The 12,116-nt window shown below is 36.6% G+C and overlaps 1 protein-coding gene across 62 annotated transcripts in view; it reads left to right on the top strand.

The window, feature by feature from the left end:
• EIF4G3 (eukaryotic translation initiation factor 4 gamma 3) overlaps nucleotides 1–12,116 on the top strand; it is a 370,606-nt gene that overhangs the window by 273,193 nt on the left and 85,297 nt on the right. For 37 of the 62 annotated variants that reach the window (XM_047433321.1, XM_047433366.1, XM_047433340.1 and 34 more), the window contains 3 exons: nucleotides 3,762–4,008; nucleotides 8,204–8,337; nucleotides 10,069–10,188. In XM_047433321.1, the coding sequence (XP_047289277.1) occupies nucleotides 3,762–4,008; nucleotides 8,204–8,337; nucleotides 10,069–10,188 (501 nt within the window). Of the gene's footprint in view, nucleotides 1–3,761; nucleotides 4,009–8,203; nucleotides 8,338–10,068; nucleotides 10,189–10,975; nucleotides 11,087–12,116 lie in introns of all 62 variants that reach the window. The other 25 variants (XM_047433324.1, XM_017002707.3, XM_011542370.3 and 22 more) reach the window with 1 other exon arrangement.

Here is a 12,116-nt window from a genome sequence, read left to right as displayed (position 1 = left end):
TTACATGATGCTGTGTTGATGTCACTGTTAGTCCCATAGCAACCACTAAAATGTTGATCGTTGTGATTTCATTGTGGTTATTAGGGTGTAAAACTTGGCAGTAAGGTATAGAGGTGCAAATAGTCATTGCACTCCTTTTGCAGCTGAACCTGAAAATGTTCCTCCTACAGAGAATAAAATACCTTCCAGAGGCATGGGAATCACATACATTCCTGCTGTGGCTGTTAAGAGCTTCATTAACTTCTTTCTTTTTAGATTCAGCTGGTTTTTTTGTTATTTTTCTTCTGTTATACTTCATGTTGGATTTCTAAGCATTATTGAATATTATATAGGCCACTCCTCCATTGCCTTCAAATATTCATCCTAATCTTCAGCTTGAGGTTCACCAAACTTTTTGTGTAAAGGTCCAGATAGTAAATATTTTAGGCTGTCACAATTCCTCAAATTTGCCGCTGTAGCTTAAAAGCAGCCATCAACAATGTGTAAATGAAAGAAGCAAGGTTGTATCTTCACAAAACTTTATTGGTGGACATTGAAATGTGAATTTGTATGCCAGGAAATATTTTTCCAGATTTTTTCAGATATTACAAATATAAATATCATCCTTACCTTGTATGCTGTGCAAAAGCAGGCGGTGAGCCAGAATTGGCCCTCGGGCCAGAGTTTGCTATAAAGCTTCTTTAGCTTGTTACTCTTGAAACACAAGAACTGTTTTGACTTATTTTGAACCAATCACTTTTTCTTAACTTTATAGTTTAAGACAAGGCTGGGCGCAGTGGCTCATGCCTATAATTCTAGCACTTTGGTAGGCTGAGGCAGGAGGATCACTTGAGGCCAGGATTTCGAGACCAGCCTGGCCAACATGACGAAACCCCATCTCTGTTAAAAATACAAAAAGTAGCTGGCCGTGGTGGCGCGCGCCTATAATCCCAGCTACTCAGGAAGCTGAGACAGGAGAATCACTTGAACCCAGAAGGCGGAGGTTGCAATGAGCCAAGATTGTGCCAGTGCACTCCAGCCTGGACAACAGAACGAGACTCTGTCTCAAAAAAATAAAATAACCTAAAAAATTTTTAAAAACTAAAGCAAGACAAAAAATATTTGCTTTTTACATAGTGACTTCTTTCAGAAATCCTTTTTTCTGTCTTTCCTAAAACTGAGCTTTTGTTGGCATAGTGTAGTAAATACTGGATGCCATTGTCTTCATTTCCACTAATCAGGCTCCCCCTTTCTTAGATTTATTTTGTCAGCTTTTAAAATAATTTGTTTCTGGTATCAGCTTATTTGGGTTACATATTAGGTTGTTGCATTATTAAAGATATTTATCAAAATTATAGTCTAGAGGCTGGGCATGGTGGCTTACGCCTGTAATCACAGCACTTTGGGAGGCCAAGAAGGGCAGATCACGAGGCCAGAAGTTTGAGACCAGCCTGACCAACATGGTGAAACCCTGTCTCTACTAAAAATACAAAAATTAGCCAGGCGTAGTAGTGTGCGCCTGTAATCCCAGCTACTCAGGAGGCTGAGGCAGGAGAATCGCTTGAACCTGGGAGGCGGAGATTGCAGTGAGCCGAGATCGCGCCACTGACTCCAGCCTGGGTGACAGAGCAAGACTCCGTCTCAAAAAAAAAAAAAAAATTATAGCCTAGAAAAGTAAGGATGAAGGATGATTTCATATTAAAATTGCTTGGCAAAGTATCTTAAAATAAGTTTTAAAATTTTAGAGCATTTCATCAATTATTATATACATAGTTGCCAGTCTGATTTTCTAGCACTTTTAAAAAACATTGCATTAAGCACAGAGTTCTGTCAAGTGAATTCTTAACAGATTCCTATAAAAGGTTTACCTTTGGCTGTCCAGCCAATGAAGTCATCTCTTTCTTAAATCTGTTTCTGCATAAACAATTTAGGAACTGTACAGACTAGTTGACTAGGATTTTATCCTGCTTTAAAAAAAACCCATAAATATTTAATTAAGCTATTTTTGTTATTCTCTTCAAATACCCCTCATAGTAATACACCTCAGATAATTCAGTGATTCTGTGTTCTCTGAATTATGGTTTGTTATTCATAGAACTAGTTTCTTTATACTTCTTTTTCCAGTTAGAAATTAAATTTCTAAGTAATACAGCCTCTGTTTATATATGATAGACTGTTGTTGATTGTAGGTACAGAGAAGAGGATGCACTGTATTCTCTAAAAAAAAGTTTCACATTTTATAAGATCTGAAATAAGAATTCTGTATAATTGTATAATTTGGTTATGTTGCTCTTTAATAAGTTTAAATACCATTTACATACTGATATCTCAGATTATTAAATGTCTTCTTGATGACCTGTACTTAATTATGAGATGGTATTATAAGATTATTATAATTAGACTATAGTAGAGTCTAAAATTTTTAAAAATGAGGCTGCTGATTCATGATTCAAATTTGGTAGATCTGGTTTTTTCAATGTTTAAATGATACCTACTTTCTGCCATGCTTTATAAAATAAATTGTTTCCAAACTTATTTTTTTGGAATATTATGTCTGTCTGTCTTTTGAGGGTTTTTATATACTATCTTTTTCCATGAATTAGTCGGGGGAATAGGTGTGGGGTGGTGTTTGTGCATATTTGCATGAACTTTTTATTTCCATTATTAGAAACAGAGTCTAAAAACCATCTGTTTCTGTTGATAACATTAAACAATTTATTGGCTTTTCAACCATGATCTGTTATATGGTAAAAGAAAATTTACTAGTATTATATCTGTTTTAATACTATCTAACAAAGAAGTATTTGTCACTCAAAAATTGTTTTAAACATAATTTCATAGATTATTTGGGGTGAACTTTTTTCTGCTATATATGACACTACTTTACACTATCCTCTGCTGAACCAGCTCCAGTTTTTGGCTCTTCTCCTCGTGTGAATTTATCAATTAGAACACCTCTGAGTAGTTGTTTCAGAGGATTGTTTTCAGAGTGCATACCCATCGTGAAAAGAGTTCACAGAGAACTTTGCCTCAAGGAGTTTTGAAGATTCATGAGGCCTTTACAGAGCCATTTGTGTTTGATATCTGACGCTAAGATGGTCAAAAATAATCTAGGGAATAACTTCAATTCTTTTTCGCCTTCTGAAAATAGGTGTGATACTCCATAACCCAGATTTCTCTTTTTTTTTTCTCTCTCTCTCTTTTTTTTTTTTTATATACAAGATTTTTCTATATGGTCACAGCCTCAGAGAAGTCTAAGAACGAATAACAAAATAGATTTTAACTAGCAAGTGGCCTTTTTGTAAAATGAGATATGATCAGTTTTATAGGACTTAGATGTTTTAAGCTATTCTCCAGACTGTCAATTTCACAGCCAGAAGACAGTGTAAAAAATACCCTCCAGTGTTTCTTTTTATATTTGTTGAGCTTTAATGGCAAGGGTAGTGTAGTGCTTGTTTTAGATTCTGACTAGGACTCTTTCATGTTCATAAAGTTCCATGGATTAACAGTTCTTTCCATTCTAACCTTTGGTATATTTGGATATTATTAGTCTCATGTTAAAGCATTTCAGCAGCCATTTGAATGGTCTTCCTTTTCCTAGGTGCTGAAATGAGAAAAGTATTTTTTTTAAACTCAGCATTCTAATACCACATGCTGAACACAGACATTCTTACCTTGAATGACATGTTTTCCTTTGCTTTTTGAAGGGAGTAGATGTAGGTTTTTATGTATATTTACACCCGTGGAAAAAAATGTAACCTCTTTGTTCATTTATTATTTAGCTTAAAGCTGAAGAGGAGCTTTCCATTGACAAAGTACTTGAATCTGAACAAGATAAAATGAGCCAGGGGTTTCATCCTGAAAGAGACCCCTCTGACCTAAAAAAAGTGAAAGCTGTGGAAGAAAATGGAGAAGAAGCTGAGCCAGTACGTAATGGTGCTGAGAGTGTTTCTGAGGGTGAAGGAATAGATGCTAATTCAGGCTCCACAGATAGTTCTGGTGATGGGGTTACATTTCCATTTAAACCAGGTAAGTTTATACCTGCCTTCCTATGTACCTCTTTATCCCTCTACTGCAACCTTAGAGAAATGTTGCCTCTTTTTAGAGAGATACTGGATGGAAGAAAGAGGTTTATCACAATATAATATTTACAGGACAGATCAGCAAGCCCAAGTTAGTGACTAGCAAATCCAGAGAGTTCTGTATTGCTGGAAATGATACCCGACACTGGTATTCCCCTTTTACTGGCATTGGAAGAGCATCTGGCAGAGGGAATCAGACAGTGCCATGCTAGTGGGTGCAGTTTGATTTTAAAAATTATTGCATTCGTTTTAATTGAAAGGGATATAGAGATATTACCACATTCCTCGAGATGGCGTTAGTCATCTTTCATAAGACTTGATCTCTGTTGACAGAAATCACTCTGTGGAACTGAATTCTGAAACAATGTATTGAGTACCTGCAGTATGGGAAGTTCCCTGTGGTAAATATGTATGATAAACAAGTAAATAAGGAATATATATGATAAACATATGGTAAACAAATATAAACCCTGGAGGATTTTTTTATCTTCAGATACCATCAAATGCATTAAACCTCTGTCATAATGCTATATAAACTGTGACTGACTTTGAGATATATGGAGAGATTTGGTATGGATCTGTAAGGAAAGATGGTTCCTTTGACAGAAAGTTTGGGCTGGGTGCGGTGGCTCACGCCTGTAATCCCAGCACTTAGGGAGGCCGAGGCGGGCGGATCACCTGAGGTTGGGAGTTCGAGACTAGCCTGACCAACATGGAGAAACCCCGTCTCGACTAAAAATACAAAATAAGCTGGGCGTGGTGGCACATGCCTGTAATTTCAGCTACTTGGGAAGCTGAGGCAGGAGAATCGCTTGAACCCGGAAGGCAGAGGTTGCAGTGAGCCAAGATTGTACCATTGCACTCCAGCCTGGGCAACAAGAGCGAAACTCCATCTCAAAAAAAGAAAGAAAGAAAGTTTGGAGTAGGTGAAAAGTTTTCCTTAGTCTGCCAAATCTAGACTAAGTTTTGCAGGAGGTGGGGTTTGAGTGTAAAATACCAGACCTCAAAGGTAATCTAGATCAATATTTTTCAAACTGTTGGATTTAATACATTTAATAGATTGTGAAATTAATAGGTCACAACCAACATTTTAAAAAAGGATAATATAATAAAAAATGTCAGTCTATTACATGTAAGTAAGAATAAGTATTGTTTTTAGAAACTTTGTAGTTATATATGTGTTTATAATTGTCCCGGGTCATGAAGTCATTATGTCTTACTGTGAGTTGTAGTCAGAGATGTTTGAAAACCAATGACTAGTACTTACCACTTTATTTTATATTATTTTTAAAAGTTTTTATTTATTGTTTATTTTTTACAGAGGGAGGGTCTCACTATGTTGCCCAGGCTGCTTTCAAACTCTTGTGCTCAAGCAGTCCTCCTGCCTCAGCCTCCCAAAGTGCTCCCATGCCCAGCCCTTACCACTTTGATATACTGATCTTTCACTACCAGTAAAATCCTGTTAATGGGCTTTATGAAATTGTAAATTTATGCTATCATAAAACTTTTTTTAAAAAAACCCTAGGACTCAGTGTACTCAATTGCTTTTGTCAACTTAGGCTTGTATACTGTGTTCAAAAATAAAGAAAAAGATCTAGGCTTGTACCAGGTCACAGAGTACTTGTAGCCATCACCAATGTGTCTTAAGAAAATGGAAACACTATTGCTATTTTTAGACTATGCAAATTATATTTTTATATTAATTTATTTTATGTTTTAATATTTTGTATATTGCATAATTTATGTTACTTATATTTTATATTATATTTTAATTCTTTTCATCCATCAGTTTTACAGTATAGGCCCTGACTATAATTGACCAACTACCTTTTGCCCTTGTAATATTTAACAGCAGTAATTGGAAAAAAGACAATAGTCATTGGAAAAAAAACAGTTTGAAATTTAGATCCCAATAAGCTGTCTACTTTTTAATAAATATAATAGGGTAATAAAGATATGGTGGAAAACATTTGGAATATTCTCAAAGACCCATCAGCGGGTCTATAACCTACACATTAGGAATCTCTAATGTAAGAAGGATCCAATCTGCTATCAGGAAGTAATCTGGAGTCTGATTTTGATGAGTTTTATTAATTAAAATAAGAAAACTGTGATTTTTTTTTAGATGAAATTATAGGCAGGAGAAAAAACTTAGTATCTAACTGCATAGACAGTTCATTATCTTAAATAAGTTGTTTCTGTGTTTTGTGTCCTTTTGCTTTTTTTTTTTTCTCTAAAATAACATTTCCTAGTGAACAACCAAAGTAGCCTTTTTTATGAAGCCAAGGGTTGTATCAGGTTCCTTATTTCTTAGTTATTTAAGTTATTTAGTTATTTAAGTCTTATTTCTAAGTTATTTATTTAATGAGGATTATTACATGTCCCTGGCCAAAGGTTACTTAGTGTGTATGTGAAGTGATTCCTACTTGCTTTAGATTATTTTACTACTCAAAGGTATTTAGAAGGGATGAAAGAACAAGTGATGGTTTAAAATCTTTACATATTTTCTGACTGTATTTCATTGTTCCCTTCTATTTTTTGTTTGTTCATGAAGAGATAAATACTGGAATGTGGTTTGTACTCTTAGGGAATGTAGGTCATGCATCATTTAATGACGGTGATTTGTTCTGAGAAATGCATCATTAGGCAATTTCTTCCTTGTGCAAACAAAAGAGTATTTGCACAAACCTAGATGTTCTAGCCTACTACACACCTAGGCTGTATAGTGTAGCCTACTGCTCTTAGGCTGCAAACCTGTACAGCATGTTGCTATACTGAATAGTAGGCAGTTGTAACATAATGGTAAGTATTTGTGTATCTAAATATAACTAAACATAGAAAAGGTATAGTAAAAATACTATATAAAAGATTTAAAATGGTACACTGTATAGGGCACTTACCATGAATGGAGACTGCAGGACTTGAAGTTGTTCTAGATGAGTGGTGAGTGAATGTAAAAGCCTAGGACATTACTGTGTGCTGGTGTGGATTTTATAAACATTAGGGCACACTACATTTATTTTAAAATGTGTACTTTCTCTAATAATGAATTAATCTTAGCTTACCTTAATCTTTTTACTTGATAAGCTTTTTAATTTTTTAACTTTTTGACTTTTATAATAATATTTAGCTTAAAACACACTGTATAGCTATGCAAAAATATTTCTTTTTCCTTTTTCTTTTTCTTTTTCTTTTTTTTTTTTTTTTTGAGATAGAATCTCACTCTGTTACCCAGGCTAGAGTGCAGTGGTGCAATCATAGCTCACTGCAGCCTCAGCCTCCTGGACTCAAGTGATCTTCCCACCTCAGCCACCTGATAGCTGGGACTACAGTTGCATGTCACCATGCCCAGCTAATTTTTTAAAATTTTTTTTCTAGAGATTAGGTCTTACTACATCGCCCAGGCTGGTCTCAAACTCTTGGCCTCCCAAAGTACTGGGATTATAGGTGTGAGCCACCATCCCTGGCCTTGTTTCTTTATATCCTTATTCTATATGCTTTTTTCTATTTTTAAAATTATTTATCTTTTTACTTGTTAAGGATTTTTCTTAAAAACTAAGACACAAACATATATTAGCCTAGGCCTATACACGGTCAAGATCATCAACATCACTGTCTTCTACTTCCAGATCTTGTCTCATTGGAAGGTCTTCCGGGGCAATAATATGCATAGAGCTGTCATCTATTATAACAGTGCCTTCCTCTGGAATAATTCCTGAAGGACTTGCTTGAGGCTGTTTTACAGTTAACTTTTTTTAATAAATAGAAGGAATATACTCTAGTGATTTAAAAGTATAGTACAGTAGATACATAAGCCAGTAACGTAGTTATTTCTTGTTACTATGAAATATTATGTGTTATACTTGATTGTATGTGCTATACTTTTAAATGACTGGCAGCACAGTAGGTTTGTTTACACTACCATTAACACATACATGTGAATAATGCATTGTGCTGCCACATGAGGATAGTTACAGTGTCATTAGGCAATAGGAACCTTTCAGCTTCATTATAGCCTTATGGGCTATAATGTTGTATATGCAGTTGTATATGCAGTTTGTTATTGATCGAAACATCGTTATGCAATGCATGACTGTATATAATGCCCTACAAACAGTGTCTGCCTATATTCCTCTTTCTAGAATCCTGGAAGCCTACTGATACTGAAGGTAAGAAGCAGTATGACAGGGAGTTTCTGCTGGACTTCCAGTTCATGCCTGCCTGTATACAAAAACCAGAGGGCCTGCCTCCTATCAGTGATGTGGTTCTTGACAAGGTAAGCTGCGTACTCAGAGAAAACTAGTTCTTTTTGGTGGGAACTGATTTTAACTATAAGAGCAAATATGTGAAGTATGAGCAGTTTTTAGTAATTGTTAGACCAAATGATGTAAAAATATCTAATGTTTAAGAATTTGTTTCCCTAAACACTGTTGGATTTTGAGTTTCTTATAGGTTACAGTCATTTTGGGATTTGGCCCATGTTGGAGTGGTGGTTTTTTTTAATGTTTATTGATTTATCTGCTTATTATGGCTGTTTTTTGGTGAAATAAAAAATTTTGTGTTTGTTGGGGGAAACATGGCTAAATTGATACGGAGGTCTTTCCTCATTGTTCTAAAAGTTCATTATGGAATTCTATTGGCATTGAAGACAGGTCAGAAATCTAGGAAGGTATTTGGCAGATCAAACATAAGTGAGAGTCAACATGATTCAAATAATATGTATCTCAAAGTTTCCCTAATAGATACCTCCAGTGATTGAATTCTCCAATCTTGTGCAAATAGGCATCCTTCCTCTTTGCATCTGATCTTTATGGTGCACACAGCAAATTAGTACAGTCAGTATTTGTTTACTAAATTAAAAGGAGTAAAGTCAGATCTACTAAAGTAATTTCATCAGAGCTGATGATTAAGCTTGAAGTATTTTTGTTTTGTAGAGGAACAGAAATGTAAAAGTAGAGATTAACTATCTTATGGAATCATATCTACCTCTTAACCGATTTATGCCTAGTGTTTCATTATTGGAATGCTAAGTTTGTGAGAGTTATTTATATCCTACTCTTCAAGGTCATAACCAAGGTCTGAATTTTCACGCAAAAAAATTTGCAGCCTCCGGCATAAATGGGTTAGTAAAGATGTCCAGCAGCTGCTTATCCAGAACTCATTTATACTATTTTACTTTCTTATAGCAACAGGTCTTCTTACTTCTATTGGTGGTATCTAAGTCTTCTCTCCTAGATACTTATGTGAGGACAGCTGAATGACTGATTAATGGTGCTAATTTGAGGCTACTTCAGTACCTCAGAAGTCAAGTGTTATATCCACCAAATTCAATTATCCTCTTAGAAAATATTCCTGCCTGTCCTGCTGCCTTATCTGTTTATGACTTTGGCCACTAATTAGTTGATTTCTCACTGATCTGCTTAACTTTATGTTGTCCATGGTCACATTACATGCTTATTCAAAGTCAGATATCTCAGATTAACAAGGCAGACAGTGAAATTTTAAATGAATCATCACCTATGAAACATGTCTCCTCTAAGACTTATTGTCCACTCATAGTACATTCTTTACTAACCATAAGTCTACAGCATCAAAACTAAAATGAGCAGTAGCAGGATTCGTATAGGCAAGTGCTCTATATCCTGATGAATATTTTTTTTTAATTCTAAAATTTGACCCTAGTATAGAGGATCTCAAAATATCTTGTCTTGTGCCATTCAGTTGGTCCTCAGTATCTAGTGAGCCAGTCTGCTGATTATGTATAGCCCCTACTTGGAAATTTAAGGCCTAAATCATTCCCAGCGTATCAGAAAACCATTGTTTTAGCCTAATGGCTCTAAGAGTAGCCCAGGAGAAGCTGCCATGGATGAGATTGGACTTCTGCGGGTTCCAAAGCTGGTGCTTACCGTTTCAGCTGATGTAACTTTTCAGTAAAAATTTTTGTTATCTTTTGTGGCAGGGAATGCTCTGGAACATGTATTAAGCTTTCTTTTGCTTTTTCATGCAGATCAACCAACCCAAATTGCCAATGCGAACTCTGGATCCTCGAATTTTGCCTCGAGGACCAGACTTTACACCAGCCTTTGCTGATTTTGGAAGGCAGACACCTGGTGGAAGAGGCGTACCTGTAAGTGCAAGTTCCCTACAACTCACTTAGTTAGACACTGGCACAGACTCCATGAAATCCTACCTCATGGCAAGACAGCAGCTTTTATTCGTTGATTCTAGTCAAGAAGAAGAAGAAGAGGCAAAGACTATCCTTTCCATACTCATATTAAAGCAGATAAAGAATACACTTGAGTTCTTTTTACTTGGCAGAAGCTAGTCTGCATTAATTTGGTCTTGATTTTTTTTTTCCCTATTTTTTCAATTGAGGTGACCTGCAAATAGGTTTAAAAATAGTGCCAACCATGGCCAGGGATGGTGGCTCAGGTCTGTAATGCTAGCACTTTGTGGGGTCAAGGCAGGAGGATCACTTGAGGTCAGGAGTTCAAGGTCAGCCTGACAACAAAGAGAGACCCTGTCTCTACCACAAAAAAAAAAAAAAAAAGAAAAGAAAAAAATAGGCCAGGCATGCTGGCGCATGCTTATAGTCCTAGTCCCAGCTACTCGGGAGACTGAGGTGAGAGAATTACTTGACCCCAGGAGGTCCAGGCTACAGTGAGCCATGATCATGCCACTGCACTCCAGTCTGGGTGACAAAACAAGAACAGGAAGTCCAGGCTTCAGTGAGCCATGATCATGCCACTGCACTCCAGTCTGGGCGACAAAGCAAGACCCTGTCTCTGAAAAAATATATATACAGAGCGAGCCAACCTTGATAAGATTCCTGTTTTGTTTTGAGGTGTCCTAAAATACTGGAGATCTCTGATGACATTCAGCTAATGATCATGTCTTTGTCTTTGTTTCTACAGATTTGCAAAGTGCAGAGCAGGCATGGATTGCCAATTCTGGAACAGAGCAAAGCCCCAACTTGCCCTCCACTGGTGATGTCACACCCACCCATGAAGAGCCTGCCTCTAGGGGTGCGCTGAACACTTTGTTTTTTGTAATAATAGTCTCTGGTGTTATAATATTTTCTGTTACGCTCTTTTTATTTACTATTGATTGTTAAGTCAAAATTTTAACAAATGACATGTACAAAAGAGTGCAGTATTGGTAAACTGCAGATTGCCATTACACCCCCAGTGGCAGGCTCTTTCAGCGGTGGAAGTGGCATCACCAGTGGAGTTATGCTGGGGCACTGCACTGTGCAGGATTCGGCAGGCTCTGCCTACTCCATGCTTTGTAGACTTGCAGAAAGCATGGGGAAAGTTGCCAATGATGTTGAATGTCTCTTTTCCCCAAGTTAGAATGGCATAGAGAGCAATAAATCTAACATTTTGGAGGAGCTTGGGGTTTGATGTACATTTGCAGATAACCGTGTTACTTCATTTTATGTAAGGTGACACTTTTTGTTTCCGCATCACCTTTTTATTTCTGAAATGGCAACTTTTGAAACCTGCTTTGAAATAAGACTACATTGTCTGAAAACAAATGTCACTTTGTAGATATTTAAATTATTTGATTATTTTCCTGCAACCGAACAGTGATGGCGTATACTTGAATGCCTACAGTGTGTTGGAGGCTTTGTAAAACTACCGAAAACCACCTGAATTTGAAGCATACTGTTTATTGAGCCATTAATCCATCACCATTTTAGAGACCTGTGTATGTGAGATACTCTGTTTCTCACACATTTATCTATTTTCAGGAAATACTAAATTAAAATTTTTCTAAATCTTGAGTTACCTCACCAGAAAGTCTTAGAAAGCAGCTTTCTAGAAACCATTTTATACCCTTTTTTTTTTTTTTGAGACAGAGTGTCGCTCTGTCGCCCAGGCTGGAGCGCAGTGGCGTGATCTCCACTCACTGCAAGCCCTGCCACCTCCTAGGTTCACGCCATTCTCCTGCCTTGGCCTCCCGAGTAGCTGGGACTATAGGTGCCTGCCACCACGCCCAGCTAATTTTTTTTTTTTTTTTTTTTTGTATTTTTAGTAGAGACGGGGTTTCACC

The sequence above is a fragment of the Homo sapiens genome, chromosome 1 (assembly GCF_000001405.40).
Source record: "Homo sapiens chromosome 1, GRCh38.p14 Primary Assembly".
NCBI classification, from domain to species: Eukaryota; Metazoa; Chordata; class Mammalia; order Primates; family Hominidae; genus Homo; species Homo sapiens.
This window is presented reverse-complemented; position numbering and strand designations above follow the sequence as displayed.